The sequence below is a fragment of the Homo sapiens genome, chromosome 1 (genome assembly GCF_000001405.40).
Source record: "Homo sapiens chromosome 1, GRCh38.p14 Primary Assembly".
NCBI lineage: Eukaryota > Metazoa > Chordata > Mammalia > Primates > Hominidae > Homo > Homo sapiens.
Window position 1 is genome coordinate 82,103,913 of NC_000001.11, and position 23,486 is coordinate 82,127,398.

At 36.2% G+C, this 23,486-nt stretch overlaps 1 annotated feature.

The window, feature by feature from the left end:
* Positions 20,362-20,531: an enhancer, noted in NCBI's record as "experimental_9174 CRE fragment used in MPRA reporter constructs". NCBI's record gives its function as "activates a minimal promoter by MPRAs in K562 erythroleukemia cells, with activity observed for both the introgressed and non-introgressed 1:82590043 variant alleles {active_cell/tissue: K562}" and the evidence as "EXISTENCE:reporter gene assay evidence [ECO:0000049][PMID:34662402]".

The following is a 23,486-nucleotide window of genomic DNA, read 5'->3' on the forward strand; positions in this document are numbered from 1 at the left end:
CAATCCCTTCTAACTTATACGGTTTCTGCTGAGAAATCTGCTGTTAATCTGACAGGTTTTTCTTTATAGGTTACCTGGTGCTTTTGTCTCACAGCTCTTAAAATCATTTTCTTTGTCTTAACTTTAGATAACCTGATGACAATATGCCTAGGTGATAATCTTTTTATTTTTATTGTACTTTAAGTTTTAGGGTACATGTGCACATTGTGCAGGTTAGTGACATATGTATACATGTGCCATGCAGGTGCGCTGCACCCACTAACTCGTCATCTAGCATTAGGTATATCTCCCAATGCTATCCCTCCCCCCTCCCCCCACCCCACAACAGTCCCCAGACTGTGATATTCCCCTTCCTGTGTCCATGTGATCTCATTGTTCAAATCCCACCTATGAGTGAGAATATGCGGTGTTTGGTTTTTTGTTCTTGCGATAGTTTACTGAGAATGATGATTTCCAATTTCATCCATGTCCCTACAAAGGACATGAAATCATCATTTTTTATGGCTGCATAGTATTCCATGGTGTATATGTGCCACATTTTCTTAATCCAGTCTATCATTGTTGGACATTTGGGTTGGTTCCAAGTGTTTGCTATCGTGAATAATGCCGCAATAAACATACGTGTGCATGTGTCTTTATAGCAGCATGATTTATAGTCCTTTGGGTATATACCCAGTAATGGGATGGCTGGGTCAAATGGTATTTCTAGTTCTAGATCCCTGAGGAATCGCCACACTGACTTCCACAATGGTTGAACTAGTTTACAGTCCCACCAACAGTGTAAAAGTGTTCCTATTTCTCCACATCCTCTCCAGCACCTGTTGTTTCCTGACTTTTTAATGATTGCCATTCTAACTGGTGTGAGATAGTATCTCATTGTGGTTTTGATTTGCATTTCTCTGATGGCCAGTGATGATGAGCATTTTTTCATGTGTTTTTTGGCTGCATAAATGTCTTCTCCTAGGTGATAATCTTTTTGCAACGAATTTCCCAGGTTTTCTTTGTGCTTCTTGTATTTGGATGTCTAGGTCTCTAGCAAGGCCAGAAAGTTTTCCTTGATTATTCCCCCAAATATATTTTCCAAACTTCTAGATTTCTCTTCTTCCTCAGGAACACCAATTATTCTTAGGTTTGGTCATTTAACAGAATCACAGACTTCTTGGCGGCTTTGTTCATATTTTCTTATTCTTTTTTCTTTGTCTTTGTTGGATTGGGTTAATTTGAAGATCTCGTCTTCAAGCTCTGAATTCCTTTCTTCTACTTGTTCAATTCTATTGCTGAGATTTTCTGGAGCATTTTGCATTTCTATAAGTGTATCCAATGTTTCCTGAAGTTTTGATTGTTTTTTTCTTTAAGCTATCTATTTCCTTGAATATTTCTCCCTTCACTTCCTGTATTGTTTTTTGGATTTCCTTGCATTGGGCTTTGCCTTTCTCTGGTGCCTCCCTGATTAGCTTGATAACTAAACTTCTGAATTCTTTTTCAGGTAAATCAGGGATTTCTTCTTGGTTTGGAGAGTTCTTTTTCATAGTTCTTATTAAAAAGTCTCCTGAACATTAAAAAACTCCTAGAAATATATGTGTTTTGAAAATACTAACGCACAAAAAAAGAAAGGCAACTAACATATACTCCTGGGGAGTTGAAGTACCAGACTACTGGCCCATTTTCATAAGAATATTTATCAGGTGCTGTATTCCAGAGTAACAGAAGCAATAGTCTATATATAGATACATAAGAGAGATTTGTCATGGAAATTGGTTCCCACCACTATGGAAATCAAGAAGTCCTCCCATCTGCCATCCACAAGCTGGAGGACCAGGAAAGCTGATGGTGTAATTCAGTCCAAGTTCAAAGACTTGAGAACCAGGAGCTCTGATGTCCAAGGACATGAAAAGATGGATATCTCAGCTCAAGAAGACAGAGAATTTACCCTGCCTCTGCCTTTTTGTTCTATTCAGGCCCTCAACAGATTGGGTAATGCCTGACCACATGGTGAGGGCTGATCTTTACTCAGTTTACTGATTCAAATGCTCATCTCTTCTGGAAACACCCTCATGAACACACCCAGAAATAGTGTTTTAGCAGCTATCTAGCCAAGTTGATACATAAAATTAACCATGATAGCTACTTTTCATGAAATATGGATTTTAAATCTTAAATAATCTGTAATGTCAGCATTGTTGTTATTTTTCCCATTTTATTAATGAGAATATTAAGACTCACTGAGGTCAAATATCTTTCCCAAAATCAAAGATCTAAAACTTGTACATTATGGAATTCATCCCTTGTACAAAGTCTGGGTTTTTGTATTTATGAAGTTGCTTTTTTAGTTGAATTAAAAAGAGTACAGCCTTTTTACAAATTAAAAAGGAAAAAAAAAACCCACCAAGAATAACTATGCACTCGCAGTTTCTGACAACACTAGTTTAAATATATTTATTGATTCAGAATATTGAGAAATGCAAGTCAAATGAGGTATATGTGAAAATAATCCTTCATCAATTTTGAGAATATATTCTTATAAAGAGGAAAAAGCCACCTTTTCCAAAATTTAATTGCTTCCTTTAAGTCATACTGGATTTTTATTCTTTAGCTTTCTCTATTCACTTGCCAAAATGTTATTAGATTGGTTATCATTCAAACAAATAAATAAGCTTATGTCTTTCTATTAACTTGCCAACATGTAAAAAGGCTAGGAGATTGATTTGCTCCAGGAATTAATTTAAAGGAAATTTTTCTAGATCTAGTGTAACTTTTATTTTTTTAGTCTCTCTGTCAAGCCAATCACCTCAGTTTTGTTTTCCTGACCTTGAAATTCCCCCTGCCCCAGTCAGCTTTGGTGACATGAACTAGATATAGTTCTACTAGGTATTTGTTTTAGCAAAAATATTCTTGATGTAAAGGCAAAGCAGAAGATATAATCACAAAAAATTGCTCAACTATCGTTGGACTTTGCTTTCTATAGCATTTAGAAAAACAGAACAAACACAGAAAAGTCAAAAGTAAAGTCTCACAGTGTAAGTGTGATTGTTCAAAAAGCAATAGTAAATATATACATTTCAGAGGTATATATGGACAAAGAGAGAGAGAAAGATAGAGAAAAGATAGAGAAAAGGTGGGGAGGGAAGAAGGAAGAGACAGAGAGAATGAGAGAGAGAGAGAAAGAGATATGGGTCAAGAAGAAAATGAAGAACTATGTCCTAGAAGCTGAATGTTATTTCTTTATTTGTAGAAGTGCCCACTACCTTTATTTCTAATTTATGTGCTGGGACACTATAGCATAAAACTTTGCATGTGCTTGCAAATAGACTACTTCAGCAACATAATGTCACATAGGTATCTCATTTCATTTGTGAGTATAAAAAAATTGATTCATTGCAGCAGTACCACAGATGTTAGAAGACTGCACAAAAAAATGGCTTCTTTCTGGCCGAGCGTGGTGGCTCACGCCTGTAATCCCACCACTTTGGGAGGCCAAGGCGGGTGGATCACGAGGTCAGGAGATCGAGACCATCCTGGCTAACACAGGTGAAACCACATCTCTACTAAAAATACAAAAAATTAGCCGGGCGTGGTGGCGGGTGCCTGTAGTCCCAGCTGTTCGGGAGGCTGAGGCAGGAGAATGGCGTGAACCTGGAAAGCGGAGCTTGCAGTGAGCCGAGATTGCACCACTGCACTCCAGCCTGGGCAATAGAGCGAGACTCCGTCTGAAACCAAAAAAAAAAAAAAAAAAAAAAAAAAAGCTTCTTTCAAAATGTGAAAACATTAACCCCACCAATTTACTCATTACTCTTAACAAGATCAAATCATGGCAATATCCAACTCAGCAGGCATTTGTTTATTATTGTGATTTAAAATGTCTGGCATTGCAGAAAAAATAAGTGACTTGTGAAAAGTGTAATAATAATAACAATTCACTGGGAACTTACTATGTGCTGGAATTTTACAAACACTGTCCTTAAATACAAGAATTCCACAATGAAGGAGTTATTTTAGTTAGAGAATTTAAGCCATTTTTCAACGTCTTTATAATGAGTAAGTTCCTAAGGGAGGATATGAGGTTCTTTTGTTTGGCTTAACAGACTTTGCTTCTGTGCCCCCTACATTGAGCTGCTGCACCTAAAATAAAATAGTATCAATATAAAATCATATACATATCTAATCTTGTGTATATAAAATAAAATCTGTATGTTTAAACCGTATCCAGATCTGTATCTATACATACACTTTCTCATACCCCTACCTATACCTATTCATATACTATCTCTTTCTCTCTGTCTATATCTTTATCTGTGAATTAATTATATTTTAACATATAAAATAATTTTAAAATGAAGGCATAATATGAACAAGTAAAGTACACTCTGAACTGAGTAGAAGGTGAAACTGGTCAAGAAGGAAAACGATTAAGAGTGCATTCGTTTAAACTTTATGCAGAGGTACTTATGAGTGCCTGTAAACTGTCAGATTATTTAAGAGTTTAGAAATAAGCAAAATGGGACAGAATTTACCAGATGTGTAACAGGCCGGTCTGACAACACAGAATATAATTCGGACAAATTTAGTAATCTAATGTACAACATGAGGACTAAAGTTAATAAAATTGTATGAGGAACTGTACAATAGACTTTAGCTGCTCTTGTCACAAACAAGTAACTATGTAAAATGATAGGCACGTGAATCTGCTTCACTATAATAACCATTTTACTATCTCTATATATCCTATAACATCATGTTGTAAACCTAAATATGCACAATAAAGTTAATCTTTTAAAAAAGAGCTCAGTAAGGTTAGGTTAGGAATTTCTCACTATTCTGCATTATGTGCAGGGTAGAGAGATGGAGATCCTAGTATTTTTAAATGAGTTCACATGTACTAATTCAACAGAATTATACTGGGGTGGGGGAGTCTTGAGAGTAGTCAAAAATGAGATTGCTGAGCAATTTTCAGTGGTTTTATCATTAAGAAATTCTGGAGAATGGGAATTGGCAAACTGGAGATAAGCAAGTATCATTTTGAGTTTTGAAAAAAGGAAGAAATATTTTGCAAAGTAGAGACTGACAAGCTTTATTTACCTCTTGCAAGACTAGAATGAACTAGAGGAGTGTGGTTTCACACCTGTATAAGAGGAAATGCTGGTCGTTAGGTCCCAGAATAGACTCACTGAGATCAAAGCGTAAGAGAATAATGCATTTCATTTTTGAATGGCATTGAGTTTCTGGTAAAACAGACCAATGAGGTGACATTTCATTCACTGAGTTGCCTGATTATTTTACATCTGCCCTGTCTGCAGATCTGCAATATCTATCCCACCGCATTCCTAACTCTTTCTTGATGACCATATATATATATTTTTTTCACTGAGAAAATAAAAGCTATCAGAGGGCACTTTTGTGTGTTTCCACCACCTGAACATGTCTGCCTTTCCTCCTGTCCTGGAGGTGAACTGTCCTGCTGCAGTGTAAGGCCAGCCCCTGTCCTGTGCTCCCATGCCCTTTAGTTTATTCAAAGCCATCACACCAGTGAGTATCACGTCTTTCTCCTATGATAAAAACTTCTTTTCTGTTGGATCATATCCATCAACACACAGATATGTTATAGTATTTTCCACCTTTAAAAACAGATAAAACCCCAAAACAAACAAATGAAACCAAAACTTAACAAATAAAACCTTCCTTTATTTTTCAATCTACTTCCAATGATTACTTTGTTTCTCTGATTCCCTTTTGTTGAACACTCCTTGAGTTACTTGTATTTTCTGACTCTCATTCCCCTCTTTATGTTTTTCCTTAAACCCACTTGTTTCAAGTTTCATTAGCTTCAGTCCAATGAAACTGCTCTTGAAAGAGGTTTTGACCTAATTCACCTGGGGTGGGCCCTGGGCCTTGTTATTTTTTATAAGCTGTCCAACTGATTATAAAGTGTGACCAAGCTGAGAACTGCCCTAAACCTTCCAAGTAAGGATGAAGTCCCTCAGTGTGCTTACTCCCTCAAAGAGCTGGATGCACACCTCTGAGACCTTACCTAGACATCTAGTTACCTAGATCATCATGTACCAAAAAAGACTGATTCATGAATTTTCTGAAACATAGCTATTGCATAAGACCAGGTACATATTTATTTTCTTTTGTTGGTGCTTGAGTGCATTTATCAACTAATAATCAGAAAGAATATGGGACATAAGAAAATCATTATAACAACTTTATTTTGTCTTGTGTGAAGCATCTTCTCCCAAGCAATTTAAAATAGTTTACATCTTTGTAGGACAATTCTCGAAATGTTGTATTCTTGAATTGAAATATATGCCCAGGCTGCTAAAAATTCATAGGTGATCTTAAGCTGTGGTTTCTTTTGCTTGTGTGCACAAAAACCTTTGAGGAGTTAAGTGTTATGTGTTGAAAATGTTAATAGTAGGTGAATTTTCTATCCATCAATCTCTGGGTTTGTCATCTACTTCTACAGTGCTTATCACCCTATCATCTATTTGCTACATATTTTCTCAAGATATGCAGTTTATACTTTTCTCCATACTTATGGCACATAATGATTTTTGATGTTTATTTGTTCCTATTTCTCTTTTGAGGGAGAGTAAGATAATATCAGTGCACAGTAATGGAAAGAATGAGAGAAAGAGTTGACTTTTCAACATTCCATAAAAACTTTGAAGATCAAATCAGCAGTTGAATAATCTGAGCACTACTGGCAATCACAGGAGTGAGAAGAGATCAGAAGTGATACGAAACTGAGCTTTCAGTCCTAAGTTGGCCAGTAATCAGCCATATGACCTTGAATGAACCTCTAACTGTTCCAGGCCTCAATTCCTTCAACTCTAAAGGAGTCTAACTTTTGTTGCTCCAAAATGTTTGGGATTGTATAACGCTTTTTATAGTGATACCTGTGAAAACTGTAATCTATCCTTGAATAAGGATTTTATTCTTTAATAAAAAATGAGAATAATGAACGTCATAATAGCTGTGAATAAACCCTGTTTTAGTGAGTGCTAAAATAAATTAATTTGGTAATTTTTCTTTATGAAAATTGCCAGAGAAATTAGATCTGTCTTTGAGCACAAACATGAGAGTCAAAAGAACAGTAAATGCAATTTCAGTTTCATTCATCTCCTTTCAGAGACTGGAGACAAACTTGGACCTCTTCCAAAAGACCAAAGTAAACACAGAGGAAATTTTGGAAGATTGAATCAGAGCCAGAATAAACTAGGATTTCTAATGTTTAGGACGAATATTGCAAAGGGATCAGAAAATGGTTCAAGGAGAAACATTTAGATCTGAAAACCAGGCCAAGTTGCTTTAATTAATAATTTTCAGAATTAGGAAATTAAGTTGTATCAATATCAATCTGTGTGAGTGACTACTAAGGATATACAGAAAGGACATTCTGACTAATAAACTTTTTCCCCCTATAGCATCGTTGCCTATTTCAACTAAATGAATAAAAAATTCAAATTAACTCCATGTAACTGCTTAGTATATGAATGTAAAGATTGAATTTAAAACAACTTTATCATTGTTTTGGTTTTGTCTTTGAGTATAAGTGAAATAGAAACAATTGTACTTTTAATAGAATTTCAGAAAAGATCATAAGTTGTAGCAAAGGCACTCAAAGCATTTAAAAAGAAATAATGACCAATGAGGTCAACATACCATTAAAATAGGTCTTACTGTCTGGTGTTTCATTGGCCCAACAGTAAAAAAGAAAAAAGGATCAGTGATATTCTCCATGCTATAGTGGAGTTCTGAAAGAGCCAGCCTTCACTCTTAGAAAAGTGAGTCTTATTATTCAGGTTAGCTTTATTACTTGTTTCTGGACAGATTTACTTAGAGTCATTTCACATTCCCAACAATGAGTCTTCTACCTTGTAAAGTCTGATCAATTGACTAATGATACAATATTATGTAAAGAATGAGTGAGTTGTTACAAATTTTAGGGAACTGCAGATGGATGGAATACTGCACTTGGATATCTCACCTGATACTAATGTGATTAATAAAAATTATTTTTTCTCTTGATTTTAAGAAAAATGATAGAAACTCTTGGATGAATAAGATCCTAAACAGCAATAGAAAACACCTCTGATTTTAATGCTTTAGAATGTTTGGGGGATTCTGTAGGGACTCTAGCACCAATGAATAGCACAATGTGATTTGAATTCTGGAGTTACTGATAAGGAACAGAACTGCTTTCAAATCTGTCTACTATTCATCTAGAGCGACACTAATCAGATAACTGAAGGGGTGAAAATTTATAAGATATTAGAGCTGTCATCTAAAAAAGTTATTTAATATAAGGTTTTAGCTAGATATTTATTTATAATTATTTATAGTAACTGTGGTAAGATATTTCACAAAAGAGTTACCCTTTAGTGGAATGTGTTCTATTTTACAGAAGTAAATATAAACCCCATTCATTTATTCAATAAATATTTACTGAGTGCCTACGATGGCATGGTGCTTTGCTAGGTGATGAGAATTTTTCTTCCTTTTCTATTCTCACTTTTGCTAAGTATAAAACTTATACTTTACTTTTCATTACTCTCCATTAAATGCTTTTGATTTTATGTTAGGATAAAAATGGAACACATGAGGAGATTTTTTCAAGACACATTTTAACTTTTTTAACTTGTACTTTGAACAATGTATTGGATCATCAGTTTTGTTTGGGGTTCCCTAGAATTCCGGCAGACTCACCTGGTCCACTGTCTTCATAGGCAGCATTGCTCATGGGGACACGGAAGTGTCAGGGTTCTGCAAGCATCACTTGGAAGTGACTTTCCTCTTCCATAGTAACATTAGAACTCATATCATGTACTAAGTAACGATAGTCATTAGCAACTGAAAAACAAAATGGGGAGGACAGAAAGTATTTGGAGCAAAGCAATTGTTCACGAATTTGTTTGCCTCATATAGTTGTACCTGTACAATTGTGAGTGCTGACATTTTGGAATCACATAACTAGAAACTTGGCCCTAAGAAAAATACAAAACTCCATGGCTGGATAGGGCCATGGCAAATCCACTCCAATATTTGATCTCTTTTAGTAGGTGAAAATATACAGTTAAAGGTGCTTCAAACCACAAGGCATTGAAATTTATAGTAACACATATCTGTGTTTGAACTCCGGTTTTACCACTTGGCAGTTGTGGGACCTTGGACAAGTTACTTAACCTCTGTAAACCAAGAAAATAGTGGTAAAAGGGGTAGGATAATCTCAACTTCATAAAATTATTGAGGATTAAATGGAATGCTGATTAACAAAGTGTTTATCATGGGCTTCATCTGTGGCCTTAAAATGTATTGATCGAATTCCATCTTCATAGGTATGTATTCATGAATATGACTACCAAATATTTATTTAGCACCTTTATATACTAGAGTCTTTGTCATGTGTTGGAGGTATAAAGTTGAGCACCTTCTGGTGGGAGGGAGAAGAGATAATCAATAGTTATGAAAGAATGTACATATACAGGAGTTATACTGAGCTTCACTCACTGCATGCATATTTCATGTAGTGGGAAGTTTCCTTTATGGGAAGGAAAGTATTTTCTGTTATTAAAAAAAAATACTTCTTGGGGCTAGGCATGGTGGCTCACACCTCTAATCCCAGCACTTTGGGAGGCTGAGGCAGGTGGATCACCTGAGGTCAGGAGCTCAAGACCAGTCTGACCAAGATGGTGAAACCTTGTCTCTACTAAAAATACAAAAATTAGCTGGGTGTGGTGGCAGGCACCTGTAATCCCAGCTACTCAGGGGGCTCAGGCAGGAGAATTGCTTGAACCCTGGAGGCAGAGGCTGCAGTGAGCTGAGATCACATCATTGCACTCCAGCCTGAGTGACAGAGCAAGACTTCGTCTCAAAAAAAAAAAAAAAAAAGAAACCCAAAAAACTTCTTCTGGTAAAGCCATGGAAATCTTTGTTTTACATTATAATATCTACAAAGATGATAGCAGAGAGATTAAAAACAGAGCTCTGAAATTAGACTGCCTGGGGTTCAGTTTTGGCTGAATGTGATTAATAAGAATTATTTTTTTCTCTTGATTTTAAGAAAAATCACTAGCTATGTAACCTCAGACTATCTACCTTTCTCTGTCTCTGTTTCCTCAATTGAGAAAAGGGGATAATATATTACCTGTGATATAGTTGGATATTTGTCCCTGCCCAAATCCCATGTTGAAATGTAATCCCCATTGTTGGAGATGGGGCCTGGTGGGAGGTCATTAGGTCATGAGGGCCGATCCCTCATTCATGGCTTGGTGCTGTCCTCATGATGGTGAGCAGGGACTCATGAGATCTAGTCATTTAGAAATGTGTGGTCCATACCTCTGCCATGTGAGATGCCTTCTCCCCCTTTGCCTTCTGCCATGTCTAGTAGCCTTGTGAAGCCTCACTAGAAGCCAAGGAGATGCTGGTGCCATGCTTCCTGTACAGCCTGTAGACTGTGAGCCAATGAAACCTCTTTTCTTTATAAATTATCCAGTGTCAGGAATTTCTTAATGACAGTGCAATAATGGCCTAACACAACCTGTTACTTGAGATTGTTGTCAGGTCTAAATATTAAAATAAACATAAAATTCTTAGAGCAGTTTCTAGCACGTAATGAACATTCAGCAGGTGTTGATTGTTACATGCATTATACATTACAAACTGTATATAAAGACTGTGTGTGTGTGTGTGTGTGTGTGTCTGTGTGCATGCACGTGCGTGCATGTGTTAGGGCTTAGAACTACAAAGTGCTATATCAGGCAAAATAATATTAGCATTCTGTATTCCATTCATTTGTCTTTACCCGTTTTAATAATATAGCCGATAACTATGTTCAGTAATATTACGTTTAGTCGTAGGAATAATAGTGTCAGGTATAAATGGCACAATTAAAAACACTACAGAAGCTAAGTTGCTCAGAAAGTTGCAATGCAAATGTTCCTTTCTAAGAGCCTTGCAAATGCAGAGTGAGAATAAAATGAGGATATCTTATTTTATTCCCTGTTGGGAATTTATTCACATCAAATATACTATATAATTCTGCACGTGGACAACTTCTGCTGAGACTCCCTGCCTCATCATCCAAGCCTTTCAGAGAAGAAAATTGATGGACATTGATTTCATTTTAAAGGAGTCAATACATTATAATGTAAAAGTAGAAGTGTGTCACGTGATTCTCAGAGATATTTTGGAATATATCTGGTTTAAGAGAGCTAATATTAACAGACACTTGGGTTAAGATGAAAAATCATTGTCAAATGATATTTCTATTACATCCAAAACTGTTTTATAATGACATTCATTCAACTTATTTCAGGACTATGATATTAATTCGTTCATTCATTTATTGAAAAATTGTGTGTTAAGCACTCGTGATACATTAAGCACTGTACTAGGCACTGGAATACAAAGACTGATTATCTTTCACTAACCTCAGGGGCTTACGGTCTAATAGGGGAGAAAGGGAAATAAAGTAACTTTTAAGAAACAGACACTATGTTAGATTCATACAGAGAGATTTAGAGGACAGAAAGGAGGTTTTTAATTAAGACCAGGGTGAGTGTCACCAAGGGCTTCCAAGAGTTGAATCTTGAAGCACTGGCTGAGTAGGTGTGGGTGCATATGTTCGGCACCCTGGTATGGGGTGAGTACTGAGGGAAGGCACACTTTATCTAGAAAAAGAGAATGGCTTGTGTGCAGGGACAAAGGTATTAACAGCAAGTGTTCCTTGTGGATGGAGCACAGGGATCAATGAATTTACAGAAAACTAGGAGTTGCCTGGGAGGGGACACTGGAATATGGGATCTTGGGTTAGGAGTAGGGATGAGAATGTCCCTTGCCCCTGGAGCACAGTGTTCAGAACACAGAGGGTGATTAGGGAGCCCATACTTTGGAGAAAACAAGAAATGAAATGGACACAGGAAGCGGAACATCACACACCGGGGTCTGTCGTGGGGTGGGGGCAGGGGGGAGGGATAGCATTAGGAGACATACCTAATGTAAATGATGAGTTAATGGGTGCAGCACACCAACATGTCACATGTATACCTATGTAACAAATCTGCACGTTGTGCACATGTACCCTAGAACTTAAGGTATAATAATAATTAAAAATGAGTGAGCATGTAGCAGTTGCTGACATTTGGATATTCTCGTTTCTCTTTGACTGCAGCTCTCTGTGCCCTGTTGCAATAAAAAATTCAGTTAATACTGTAAAAAAAAAAAAAAAAGAGAAAAGCTAACAGATCAGATGTCTGAGGAGGCAGCCAGGTAGCATTCAGATCACAGGCAGGGACTAAGAAGAAATCAGGGACCTGTGATGAGAACAGAGGCTCAAAGCTGCAACCAAGCGACGGGGTGTGATATGGAGCTTGGAGGAAATTCCTGAGCAGCCGGAACATCGCTGCAGCAGATTTTTATAGGGCACTTGCAGCCTCCTGAATGGGCAGAAAGAGAGCTGTTAAGGGCACTGATCTGGCTCAGGCAGAGGGCCTTGAACTACACTGACGAGTTTGAACTGTATCCCGAAAGCTTTGGGGAGTCATTGCAGGGTTTTAAGCAGGGCAATGGTGTGATGAGATTTGCGTTTTAAAAAGATCTTGTTGACTGTTGTGTACAAATGGATTGGAAGTTTGTTACTCTGAAGGCACAGAGATCAGGTAGGAGGGTTTCTGCAGATGAAAGAGGATGGGAAGCTGATCTAAGGTGCTGCACTGGAAATGGAGTGGGGAGAAGATGTTTGGGAAGATGTGGAAAGTGGAACAAAGACTCATGAAGAGTAAGAGAAGAGGAGAAATAGCAGAGCCTATGTGTCGTCTAATTTGTCTGAATGAGGGACCTAGTGCCTAGTATAGATAGATGTCTGCCATTGCCTCCCAGGGGAGGTGCAGGGGAGGAGAAAAGCTGATTTCAAAGGTAGAGGTGTTGAATTTGAGGGTCCTGCTGAAAAGCTAGGTGGGGACGATCTGAAATCTGTTGCATAGAGGTCTAAAACTTAAAAAAAAAAATCTGAGGGATAAAGATCTGGAATTCATTATTGTTTAGATGGTAATTGAAACTGATGGATTTGGATGGTGTGTGTAGAGTGAAAAGGGTGGAGCCTTGGTAAACACTGACATTTAGAAGAGAATGGAGGAAAAGGATTCATGACATTGACATATTATGGCCAGAAAGGGAGAAGGGAAGTGACAGTCAGGAGTGATAGGGAAACCACATGAGAAAATAATCTCAGGACAAAGGAAGAGCTGCAGAAGAGCCAAGCATGATAACGAAACTATACACCCGTGCAGGACAAAATAACAATTGTGCAAAGTTTGCCAGACACTTTACATATGGTAGCTCCTCTGATCCTCATGACAACTCCATGGGTTGGATGCTGTTGTTATGCTTGTGTTCCAGATGAGGCTATGGAGGCACAGGAAAGTTAAGTGACCTGTCTCCCATTATAAAATGAATCTTCAAACCAACAAAATCTGACTCCTGAATTCAGACACATTACAACCACCTCTGCCAATGCTGAAGTACGCAAAAAACAAAATATAAGGCTACATTGCAGTGAGCTGAGGAAGGACAGAGGAAGTAGGAAGTAGAAGAAGTGAGTGAATACCTCTCTTAAAAATTTTCATAAGGAAACTAGAAAGGCCCTCATTAGAGGGGAAGCAAAGGTAGGGTGGAGGAGAGATTTTTTTTTAAAGATTGGAAAGACCTGAGATATTTATGCATTGAGTTAATAGAGGGGATAAAGATGTGGATAAATGATAACATGAATCCTTAGAGACAACAGAAGGGGTTAGGATCAAGAATATTGGCACAGACATTAATTTTGAACAAATTTGTATTGAACACAAACTATGTAGTTGGCCCTGTGTAGGTACTGGGGATACAAGGTGTGTAATATATGGCAGTTAACCTCAAAGATCTCAGAGCTGAGCTGGAGGTAGACATTTATAGCATTATATCATATCCTGTTAAGAAAGGGGGTTTGATGGACTGACTTTGAGGGGATGGCAGCAAGACGTTTGGGAGTAAAGCTCATCTCCCACCACCTTAGTCAAGGTTTTGGCTCCAGTTACATTGGTCTCCTTTCAATTTCTGATCATGCCAAAGGCCTTCTAGTCACTTACCTATCCCTTCTCATCCTCAAGCTTCTGTTGTAATGTTACCTCTGCAAAGAGGCCTTCCCTGATCACCTTGTCTAAAGTTATGTTTCCTCATGCTTTATTCTCTCTCCCATCACTCATTGACTTCCTTCAGGACTGTTTTCACAATCTATAATTGTCTTCCTTATTTACCCATTTGTTTATCGTGTATCTGCTCCAGGTGTAAGCTCCATGACAGTAGGGACCATCTAGTGTGTAGATGACACGTGGCTCATTGGTGATTGTCAATACGCTTTTGAGTAAATGAGTGAATACCATAATAGTGTTTGGACGGTCTTTAAAAGTAGCCATTGGCTATGTAAGAGAGATGGAGAGATGATTTTAGGTAAGTGGGAAAGTATGTACAATGTTACAGAAGCATGAGCCAGGATGGAATAGTTAAGAAGCAGTCAGTAGCTTGGCATGTTCATACCATACCATAAAATAACTGAGTGCCAGCGGTAGTGAGGGTAGAGGGGGAAGGGAGAGGTGTTGGCAAAAGAACAGTACATTAGGGCCATATAAGGAAAGGTCTTATATGCTAAGTCAGTGATTCTGCTGACAATGGACAGTCCATTGAGAAACCAAATATTATGGAAATTAGATCTTGAAAATAAATTCTGTATGAATTCAGCTATTAACATTTATGCCTGAATTTTGAATAATTAGAATATATTCCCTTTAGTTTGTCCTCAAAATCTTCCATTGAGTTCTGTCTTGATGTAATTATGATCATACAACACAAACTAGTGACCTAAATCCTTCAACAAAATTTGATTTCTGTGAAAAATCAAGAATTCCTGTTAGTGTGTATTATATGTTTTCTTGTGATCACTGCCTAGTAATTCAGTAGCCAGAGAATAAAGGGCTTCATCATTATATGAAGACATCAATATTCATTAAAACATTTGGGCTGGTCTTTGTAGGTATGGTAATGAAAGTCTGCAAACTTGTTTAGCCAAAGATCAAACAACGTAATTAAATGTTAGTCAGTAATAATAATAACTTCACAAAATGGGAAATGGTAGAAATACAGCACAAAAAGCAAGCAAGCAACATTTCCTGAGAAACCTGTCTTTGTTTTTTTAATTAATTACTAGATTAGGGAAATGACATTTACTGAAGAAAATAACAGATCATTTAATGGAATTGCCAAAGGTCTTTCGAACCTCCAGAGAATTGGAGAAATGAGCTAAATGATCAGAACTAATGTTTGGAGCCAGTACTGTAATACTTGCTAATATTTTTGCTAATTTGATAAGTTATATAAGCTTCTAACCAATATATTGAGAGCAAAGAGAAGACTGTGGTGGGGACAAATACATTTTACAGCACTGTTTGCTGCTTTAGATACCTGAGGTTATTACCATGATGAAAACATTGCCTTGTGGGAACTTTGGTAGGATAGATATCACTAGCCATATGTAAGTAGACAATTTAATTTACCCCATAAATTCTGTCACTTTTTTGGAATAATGTATCACTTTATAAAAATATAATTTAACAATTTACATAATTACTAACTAATCAAAATAAATCAAGAGCACAAGTAGTATCTTTTTAACTTTCTAGCACATTGAATCAATATATTTACTTTAATTCTGTTTTTGAGGTGTATATTCAGCTTAATTCTTTGCACTTGCTTGGAAATGTATAGCTGTTTAAAATCTGTATTCTTGTCCTGGGTCATTTACAAAACCATAGGCATCTACTTGTGCTGAGCTGAATGTGGCAGATACCTTAGCACTTGAGGTGTCTTTACTCTGCATGGTTGAGAAAACTAGATCATCACTACCTGCATACGCCTTCTCGTGTCAGAGTGAAGCTCAAGGAAACTCCTCGCGGTCATTGATCCCTGAAGAACACTTGAAGACAAACCCTATTGGATAAAGGTGGTGGATTTTTAGCTTTTCTTCTTCCACTTCAGGGCTCAGCAAATGATGGCCCCTGGAATAAATCTGATCGGCTGTGTTTTTGTAAATAAAATTTTATTGGCTCACAGCCATACCCTTAAATTTATGGGTGTATTCAATTATGGCTATTTTCATGCTGCAAAGATAGCATTGAATAGTTGCTACATTGCAAAACCTAAAGTATTTTCTATCTAGTCTTTACAGAAAAAATTTGCCTATCCCTTCTCTAGTACAAGATTTTCCTAAATATTTCCATATGACAATAGTTAAAGGGGATTTTAATGGGTGGGACTAATCAAAGGTCGAATAGTTAGGGAAACTGTTTAAGCAAATTTAATTTTTTCCTTACTGCTGGAATTCTCAGAGTGATTAATATATGAATGTATATTTTGACCCTTTTAGAAGGAAATATTGTATTAGTATTTCCCCAAATTACTTGACTATCATCACTTTTATTTGTGGGCTAGGTATGAGATTAGTGATCTTTGAAACACACTTTCAAAAATGCTAAAATACTAAAATACATGTTTTCTTCATGACTTTCTATTTATAAATTCTGCTTTACTGCCTAAGAGGACTGTCAATTCCCTATTTTCTCCATAGTGTAGATATTGCAAGAGTTATTTAACTTAATATCATGTGTACCTTGCTCCTTCTATTTCAATAAGATCCCAGTAAGGATTATTTTGATGTCTGACCTCATTTCGAAAGGGATTTTTTTTTCATTCTTTTGAACAATTTTAAACTTAACTTGAAAAAAAGTGTATATTAAGCAGTTATGTAACTGCATGATTTTTTCCTTCACACCACTGCACTCAGAAAATATTTGGAAGCAAGCTATATAAATTAGCTGGTTTGGAAAATTAAATGTATACCTAGCATCTTCTTCACAGTGGACAGTCTGAATTAATAACTCATCCTTCCTTATATGGAAGTAATTATTTACAAAAGAAGAAATGCACATGGGGAATATAACTGTGTGGTTCTTTCCCCCTTAAGTGCAAGCGTTAACTTATATCAATAAAAAGTAGTGATTGAAGACTGTGTGATGTGTTTCAGTTAAGCCAATAAAAATTTGTGGCTTCTGTTTGTTTTTGTTTTCTTCTGTCATGTTACACATGTCCTCAAAGCAGAGGATATAAAGGTTGAGCATCCCTAATTCAAAAATCCAAAATCTAAAATATTCCAAAATCCAAAACTTTTTGAGTACTGATATAATGTGACACGTGAAAAACTTTATACGTGACCTCATGTGACAGCTTGCAGTCAAAATGAAGCTGTGATATATATTTTCTGCACACACCCAGATTCCCCCACACGAACACACCTACAAAGAATAATAAAATGGCACATGTGTAGGCTGGATGTGCCAAGGACAGGTTCTCCATGATGCCCCGCATAGGGCCAAGACCTGTGTGCATTACTGGCTGTGTTTTTCTACTTCCCTGCTCTGTAGTGTAAAAATATTGTTGAAAATGTCAGAAAGGCCTACAGATACTCCTACGGGTAACAGTGATGAGAAAGAGAGGGAGCATTCCTTACTTTTAATGGCAAAAACTGCAATTACTTTTGCACCAACCTAATATGTTCATCTGTAGCCACAGAAAGTCAAGCTGTTGGTGAAACTGGGTAGTGGTGTAAGTGTGAAACATCTCACAGAAGAGTGTGGTGTTGGAATGACCACCATATGTGACTTGAGGACTTAGAGGGGTTGTGTCCTTGTGTCTTAATAGTAGTAATCTGCATGATCTTCTGCGATCCAGTGTAAAACAATTATGAAACTCCATCATTTAAAATGAGATCAAGATTGTAAAATACAGGGTAATCACATACATTTTTCTATGTGCTAATTCTAGGTCTGTTTCTACCTTTGAGCCACTAGTCTACAAATGTATAATTTAATTTGCTCAGCTTTACCATACCATTAGAATATTTTGATTGAAAGCTAAGTTTTCAATTTATACCAAATTAAATAAAACTATGTTGAAAATCATAGTTTTACTTAATTTTGATTTATAGTGTACGTTGTAGTTGATGGACACTATCAATTTATTTGCATAGTTATTTATTAATATCTATTTCATAAACTGGACTATAATTTCCATGAGGGCAGAGACTATATATTTGTATAGTGTGCTTGGTACACATTAGAATCTCACTAATATTTGTTGAATGATGAATTTCAATAACCTTTTATAAGACTTTTAAAGGATCTAAATAACGTATATATTTAAAATTTATCCTGTACAGGTAAATGTAGCTGTATATATTGCTTTGGTTTTGTAATCATTCTAAATCAGTTGACAATCTATGGCCTGCAGGCAAAAGCTGCCCCATTGCCTGTTTCTGTAAGGCATGGGAGTTAAAAAAATGGGTTTGTTGTTTTTAAATATTGGAAAAAAATTAAAAGAAGAGTCATAGTTCATGATATGTGAAAATTGTAGGACATTCAGATTTCAGTGTTGATAAATAGTTTTATTAGAATACGACCATATTCATTCATTTCTATATAATCTATGGCTGAGTTTGTCCTAAATGGCAGAGTGGCATAGTTACAACAAAGACTGTATGACCCACAGAGCCTAAAATATTGACTATCTGTCCCTTCATAGGAAGTTTGCAGACGCCTGTTCTAAATAAATAAAAAAGACACTATGCAGTTCGAGCTTTTGAAAAAATCAAGATGAATGACTACATACATATTTTAGTCTTCTATTTAACTATAAATTATATTTATATAATTTAGCATCAATCATGACTCTAAAGTTATAAGCTATACAATTTTTAAAACAATATCCCTACAAATGAACCAGTATTAAATATATACATTGCTAAATGTCAAATTAGCTCTTATTTCAAAGCTCTGTGTTTCCAGTTGTTTTCATTTATATACCCTTAAAAATGACTCATATATCTGTGTAGCTATGAGTTTGTATTTTTTTTTTTTGAGAGCAATGGACTTAAAACCTAAATTCTAAATTCAGACTTCTTAGTAGTGTATTCGACTAATTTCAGAAATACTATTTTGTTTGTTCTGTTATATACATTTTCTGTCCTCTCTTTCTCAGCTCTGAAGCTTTAGGTCACTAGCTGCAACAATTTGAAAAAGAAAAAAATCTCTGGAAAATGATGATGATGATAATAATAACCCTTTATATTTTATAGTTTATTATATTCTTCTAAGTTTTTCAAAAGCTTTCATATACATCGTGGAAACCAGCTAAACTTATTTTAAAGCCTTACATGTTTCACTCTTGAAATTAGTATGAGTGCAACTATAATAGAGGTGAAGACATTAATATCCTTACCTTTTTCTAGTCTATTAATTCCCATGCTGATGTCAGAAACTGTTGACATAAATATATAAATAAAAGATGAAAGGTTTTTCCTTAATTTTAGTAGTTGAAAGCAACACTATAGGTAATTGGAATCAGATTTTTAAAAACTTTTGTAAAGAAATTTATCAAATAACATAGGGCGACTTTTTCACTTTTGTTTGGAGTAAATAGGCACATATAAACTATGGTTAAATTAGGCATTTCTGGTAGTTCCAGCTGTACACAATTCTCATTTACTGAGTATTTTTGATAAACACTCCCATAATTTTTTCTCTTCCTAATAGGAACTGTGTTAAATTGGGTATAGGATAAATTTCTATAAAAAAAGAGAATACAAACTAGTGGTTTAAAATGATAGAACTGCTTGTTTCTCTTACAGTAATCCATAGTTAAGTGATCCAACGCTGATAAGGAGATATTGTCATCCTCAACACATAGCTGTTTTCTCTGGGTCCACAGTGGCTGCTCCAGGTGTTACCATCTTCCAGCCAGAAAGAATAAAGGCCTGGGAGCACACACATTATTTTTTAGAGAGAAGGCCTCACCTTGGCATACGTATTGCTTCTGGTCTCATCCTATTATTTAGAATGCAGGCCCATGGCCATACTAAATCTAGGGTATGTAGGCTAAAGCAGAGAGGACGTGTGCAAAGCTTAACTCAGTCCTACTGTCAAAAAAAGAGACAGTAGATATTGATAGATAACTAATAATCTTTATTGTATACATGGTGCTGTCAGTTTTATCTGTCAATGTCTACCTATCTTGATCAATCAATATAAATAGACATAAATATAGACACTTCTCCCTTTTACTAACAGAAAATTTGATTAGATATAAATTTGCTCAGATTGACTTGATTTTCTGATACCAATATCTCTACAATATTGCGCACAAACTGCTGAATATATCTGAACACTTTCCATAGCCATTATGTGACCATTTCTTGACTTCAAACCATTTCTTCTGAAACTGATTTGAATACAGAGCATCCTAAACTACAAAGGATCCATAACTTTACGCCAGCTTTCTGGGCCCTCGGATGTACAAGAGGAAACCTATAGTTTTCAGTTCACTAGGTAAAAAAAAGTAGAATTAGAAATTCTCAAAGCCAAAAAGATTTAAAAAGTGACAGATAATTAAAAAACCCTTACTAATAATATATTGTAAGTGTGGTGTAACAGAAGTCAACACAGCTAATTTGATTATTATGAACAACTTAGCTTGAAATTGAGTTGATAGAGGGATGAGGTTCAATAAAGGGTTAGTGACTGTTAATTCTATGAGGTTTAGTTTCAAATGTTATTTAAAAACTAGCTTGCAAATATTTAGAAAACCTAGGATACTGTACGCCCAATTAACACACATTTTAGGTGGCATTTCAATAAATTTCAAGGATAAACTCAGTAAAACTCATTAATTTCTAAATTTTAAATGATTTGCACCAGCTATGCCTCTTTCTTGGATGAGTAGTTCCTCTAGTAAGTACCCTAATATTAGACTGTCTCTTGAATTTTTAAACGGACTTATTAAAAGAAACGGCTTGAGTGAGAAAAATCATACAATTACAAAGCCATCCTTTCCACTTACTATTAAGCTAACAATGTAAGCTCAATATTTAATGTTATTAACAATGCCCAAAGTCAAAGGTTTGTGATTAAATGAAGGATACAAAAGGACTGCCATATTTAAAACATTTAATTTTTTTAGAAGAATGCAAATCAAAGACCAGAATTAAAGCCCAAGAGAAAATTTTATTTAAGCATATTTGAATTTCTATTGAGTTCCATTTAACCCTGAGGTTTTTTTCTCCCCTTCTGATAAACTTTTGCCCTCTAGCCTGCTGTGAAAAGAACAATGAAGCAGCCACCAATGCTCCCTAAACTCTCTGTAAGTGACTCTTCCTGAGTCATTATCCTTCAGCTTCCATAAGTAGCATGAAAAATCTCCTTTCTACCTCTCCCACTAGGAATCCGGTGCAAAGCATTGCATTTGATGTCTTGTAGAGCGGAAATCAAGAAACACAGGGCCCATCTGTGTCCATCTTGCATGTTGAATGAAAAACATTACCACCATTATAAATTAATGAGAATCTTTTATCTGGCCAGGGCTCTTTCCCCACACAATGTGAGTAACGTGGCAAAGATCTGAGACTTCCATAAAATGGCTGCCCTGAGTCTGGCCTCTTCTAGTGTGAAAGAAGAATGGGAACCTGGAAAATTTTCACTGACTGACTTAGGCCGTGAATCTGCTGCTGGGCTGCAGGAACCTTTGTACTTTAAGTTTTCAGCTTTTCATCAAAAGAAGAAGAAAGGCAAAAAGGGAGAAAAGATTCAAAGCAGCAATTTAAATTTCAGAAGTGAAGAAATTCTGAAAACTATTAATACTGGTTTTCTATCTCTCCCTCTTCTTTTTTGTCAAGTAACCAAACTCTCATTTTCATATGTAGTTTCTCTGCTTCTTTGTCAATTCATTAGCCTGTGAATCCACAGTAGATTTCATCTAGGAATCGGACTTCAAAATCCCAGGAACCTGAGCGATTCTATAAGGTGATAACGCCATTATCCAAATGCTGCATACTGCCTTCTGATAAGCCTGCTGTCTCCTTAGGAAATCCCAAGGCTTTGCTAGTCACTATTGTTTTAGGTTCCTGGAACAGTATTTATTAGCATGTGGAGTCATTCATTACTCGATCAGAATCAGGAGGGTAGGATTCCAAAATAAAAACTGCAGGGGGTATACATACACACACACACCCACACACCCACACCCACACACCCACACACACACATTCCTGCTTTAACCTGCTTACTAGCCAAGGTTCATGCCTTATAGGTGAAATACCTGAATATTTTCTGTGAATGATACTTCCCCACTTAGTCTTATGTCTTCCACTCACCTGCTTGCCTTCTTTTAACTAGCCAAATGGCCACTCCTGACTTTTTCTCTTGTTACTCTCTTTACCTGCTCTGGATAAATCTTTTTCTCCCATTGCAATCAGTTCTTACAATGACTTCCTAATTAACACATAGTAAGTCTCCTCTATAAAAATACGTATTTACTAATTATACACAGGCGCTTTGTCTTATAAGTCTTCAAGGTGGTGAAGGGTTTCTGTTATCTGTCACGTAGAAGACAATAAACTTAATGACAATTGCCACATCACCTGTGGTGTTGCTGTGTCCATCATAAAGAGTTATTTATTCACATTTATGCTATACATTTCTGTGGATAAACTCATGTTTTTCTTTCTGGAAAGAAAAGCACCCATCCTCTCTGGTCTTTCTCTTCCCATTTGCTCTATTTTTCTACTTTCCATCTTCTTCTTTCTCTGATTTCTAATTGAGATAGAAAAGATTAAAAAGCTCTTTGAATAAATCCAGTAATTTATACAGGCATTCCTGCAGGCATTTTCGTCCCTTCAGCAGCGGGTTATGCTAAACATTGATTTACACAAAAGCAACTGTAACTGCATCTGTTACTGTTTTGCATCATAATTTTGGCTCAGAAATTACAGCTTCCATAAAAGTCAATTATTAAATGGCAGAACTCGAAACGATGTTGCTGAATTAGTGATTGTGGTACAGATTGACTTAGTCTTCCAATACCAATACTTCTACCACATAGAGATGCACAGACACCAATGAATATCCCTAACTGTTCTTTATATAAGCTCAATGAAGCAATATCATAAGCAAATATAACCTAACTGGCATTTGGCATAATGTTTTTGTGATCTGTAACTTCCTTGTTGCAGAAGTTTGGTCTCAGCATCATTTTTCTGTGTTGTCTTTTTTAACTTTTGAGGGGTGGATAACCCAAAATTAAATGGCAATGCCCAAGGACAGAAAAACCAAAATGAAAGAGAAAGGAGATTTCTATGTAGCAAATTCTGTAAGTGTGAAAAATGTATCAAATATCTAACTAGATATTCCTGTTGCCCACGCAACAGCCAAGCTCCTTGCACAAAGCCAAGCTCCTTGCACAAAGACAGAGTTTTTGGTTACAAATGTTAGCCTGCTCAGGAATGTCTAGTTAAGGTTGTTAAGCCTAGAAACGAATATCTTGTGAAACTTAAAACACATTGTTTTTCTGGTTGAAAA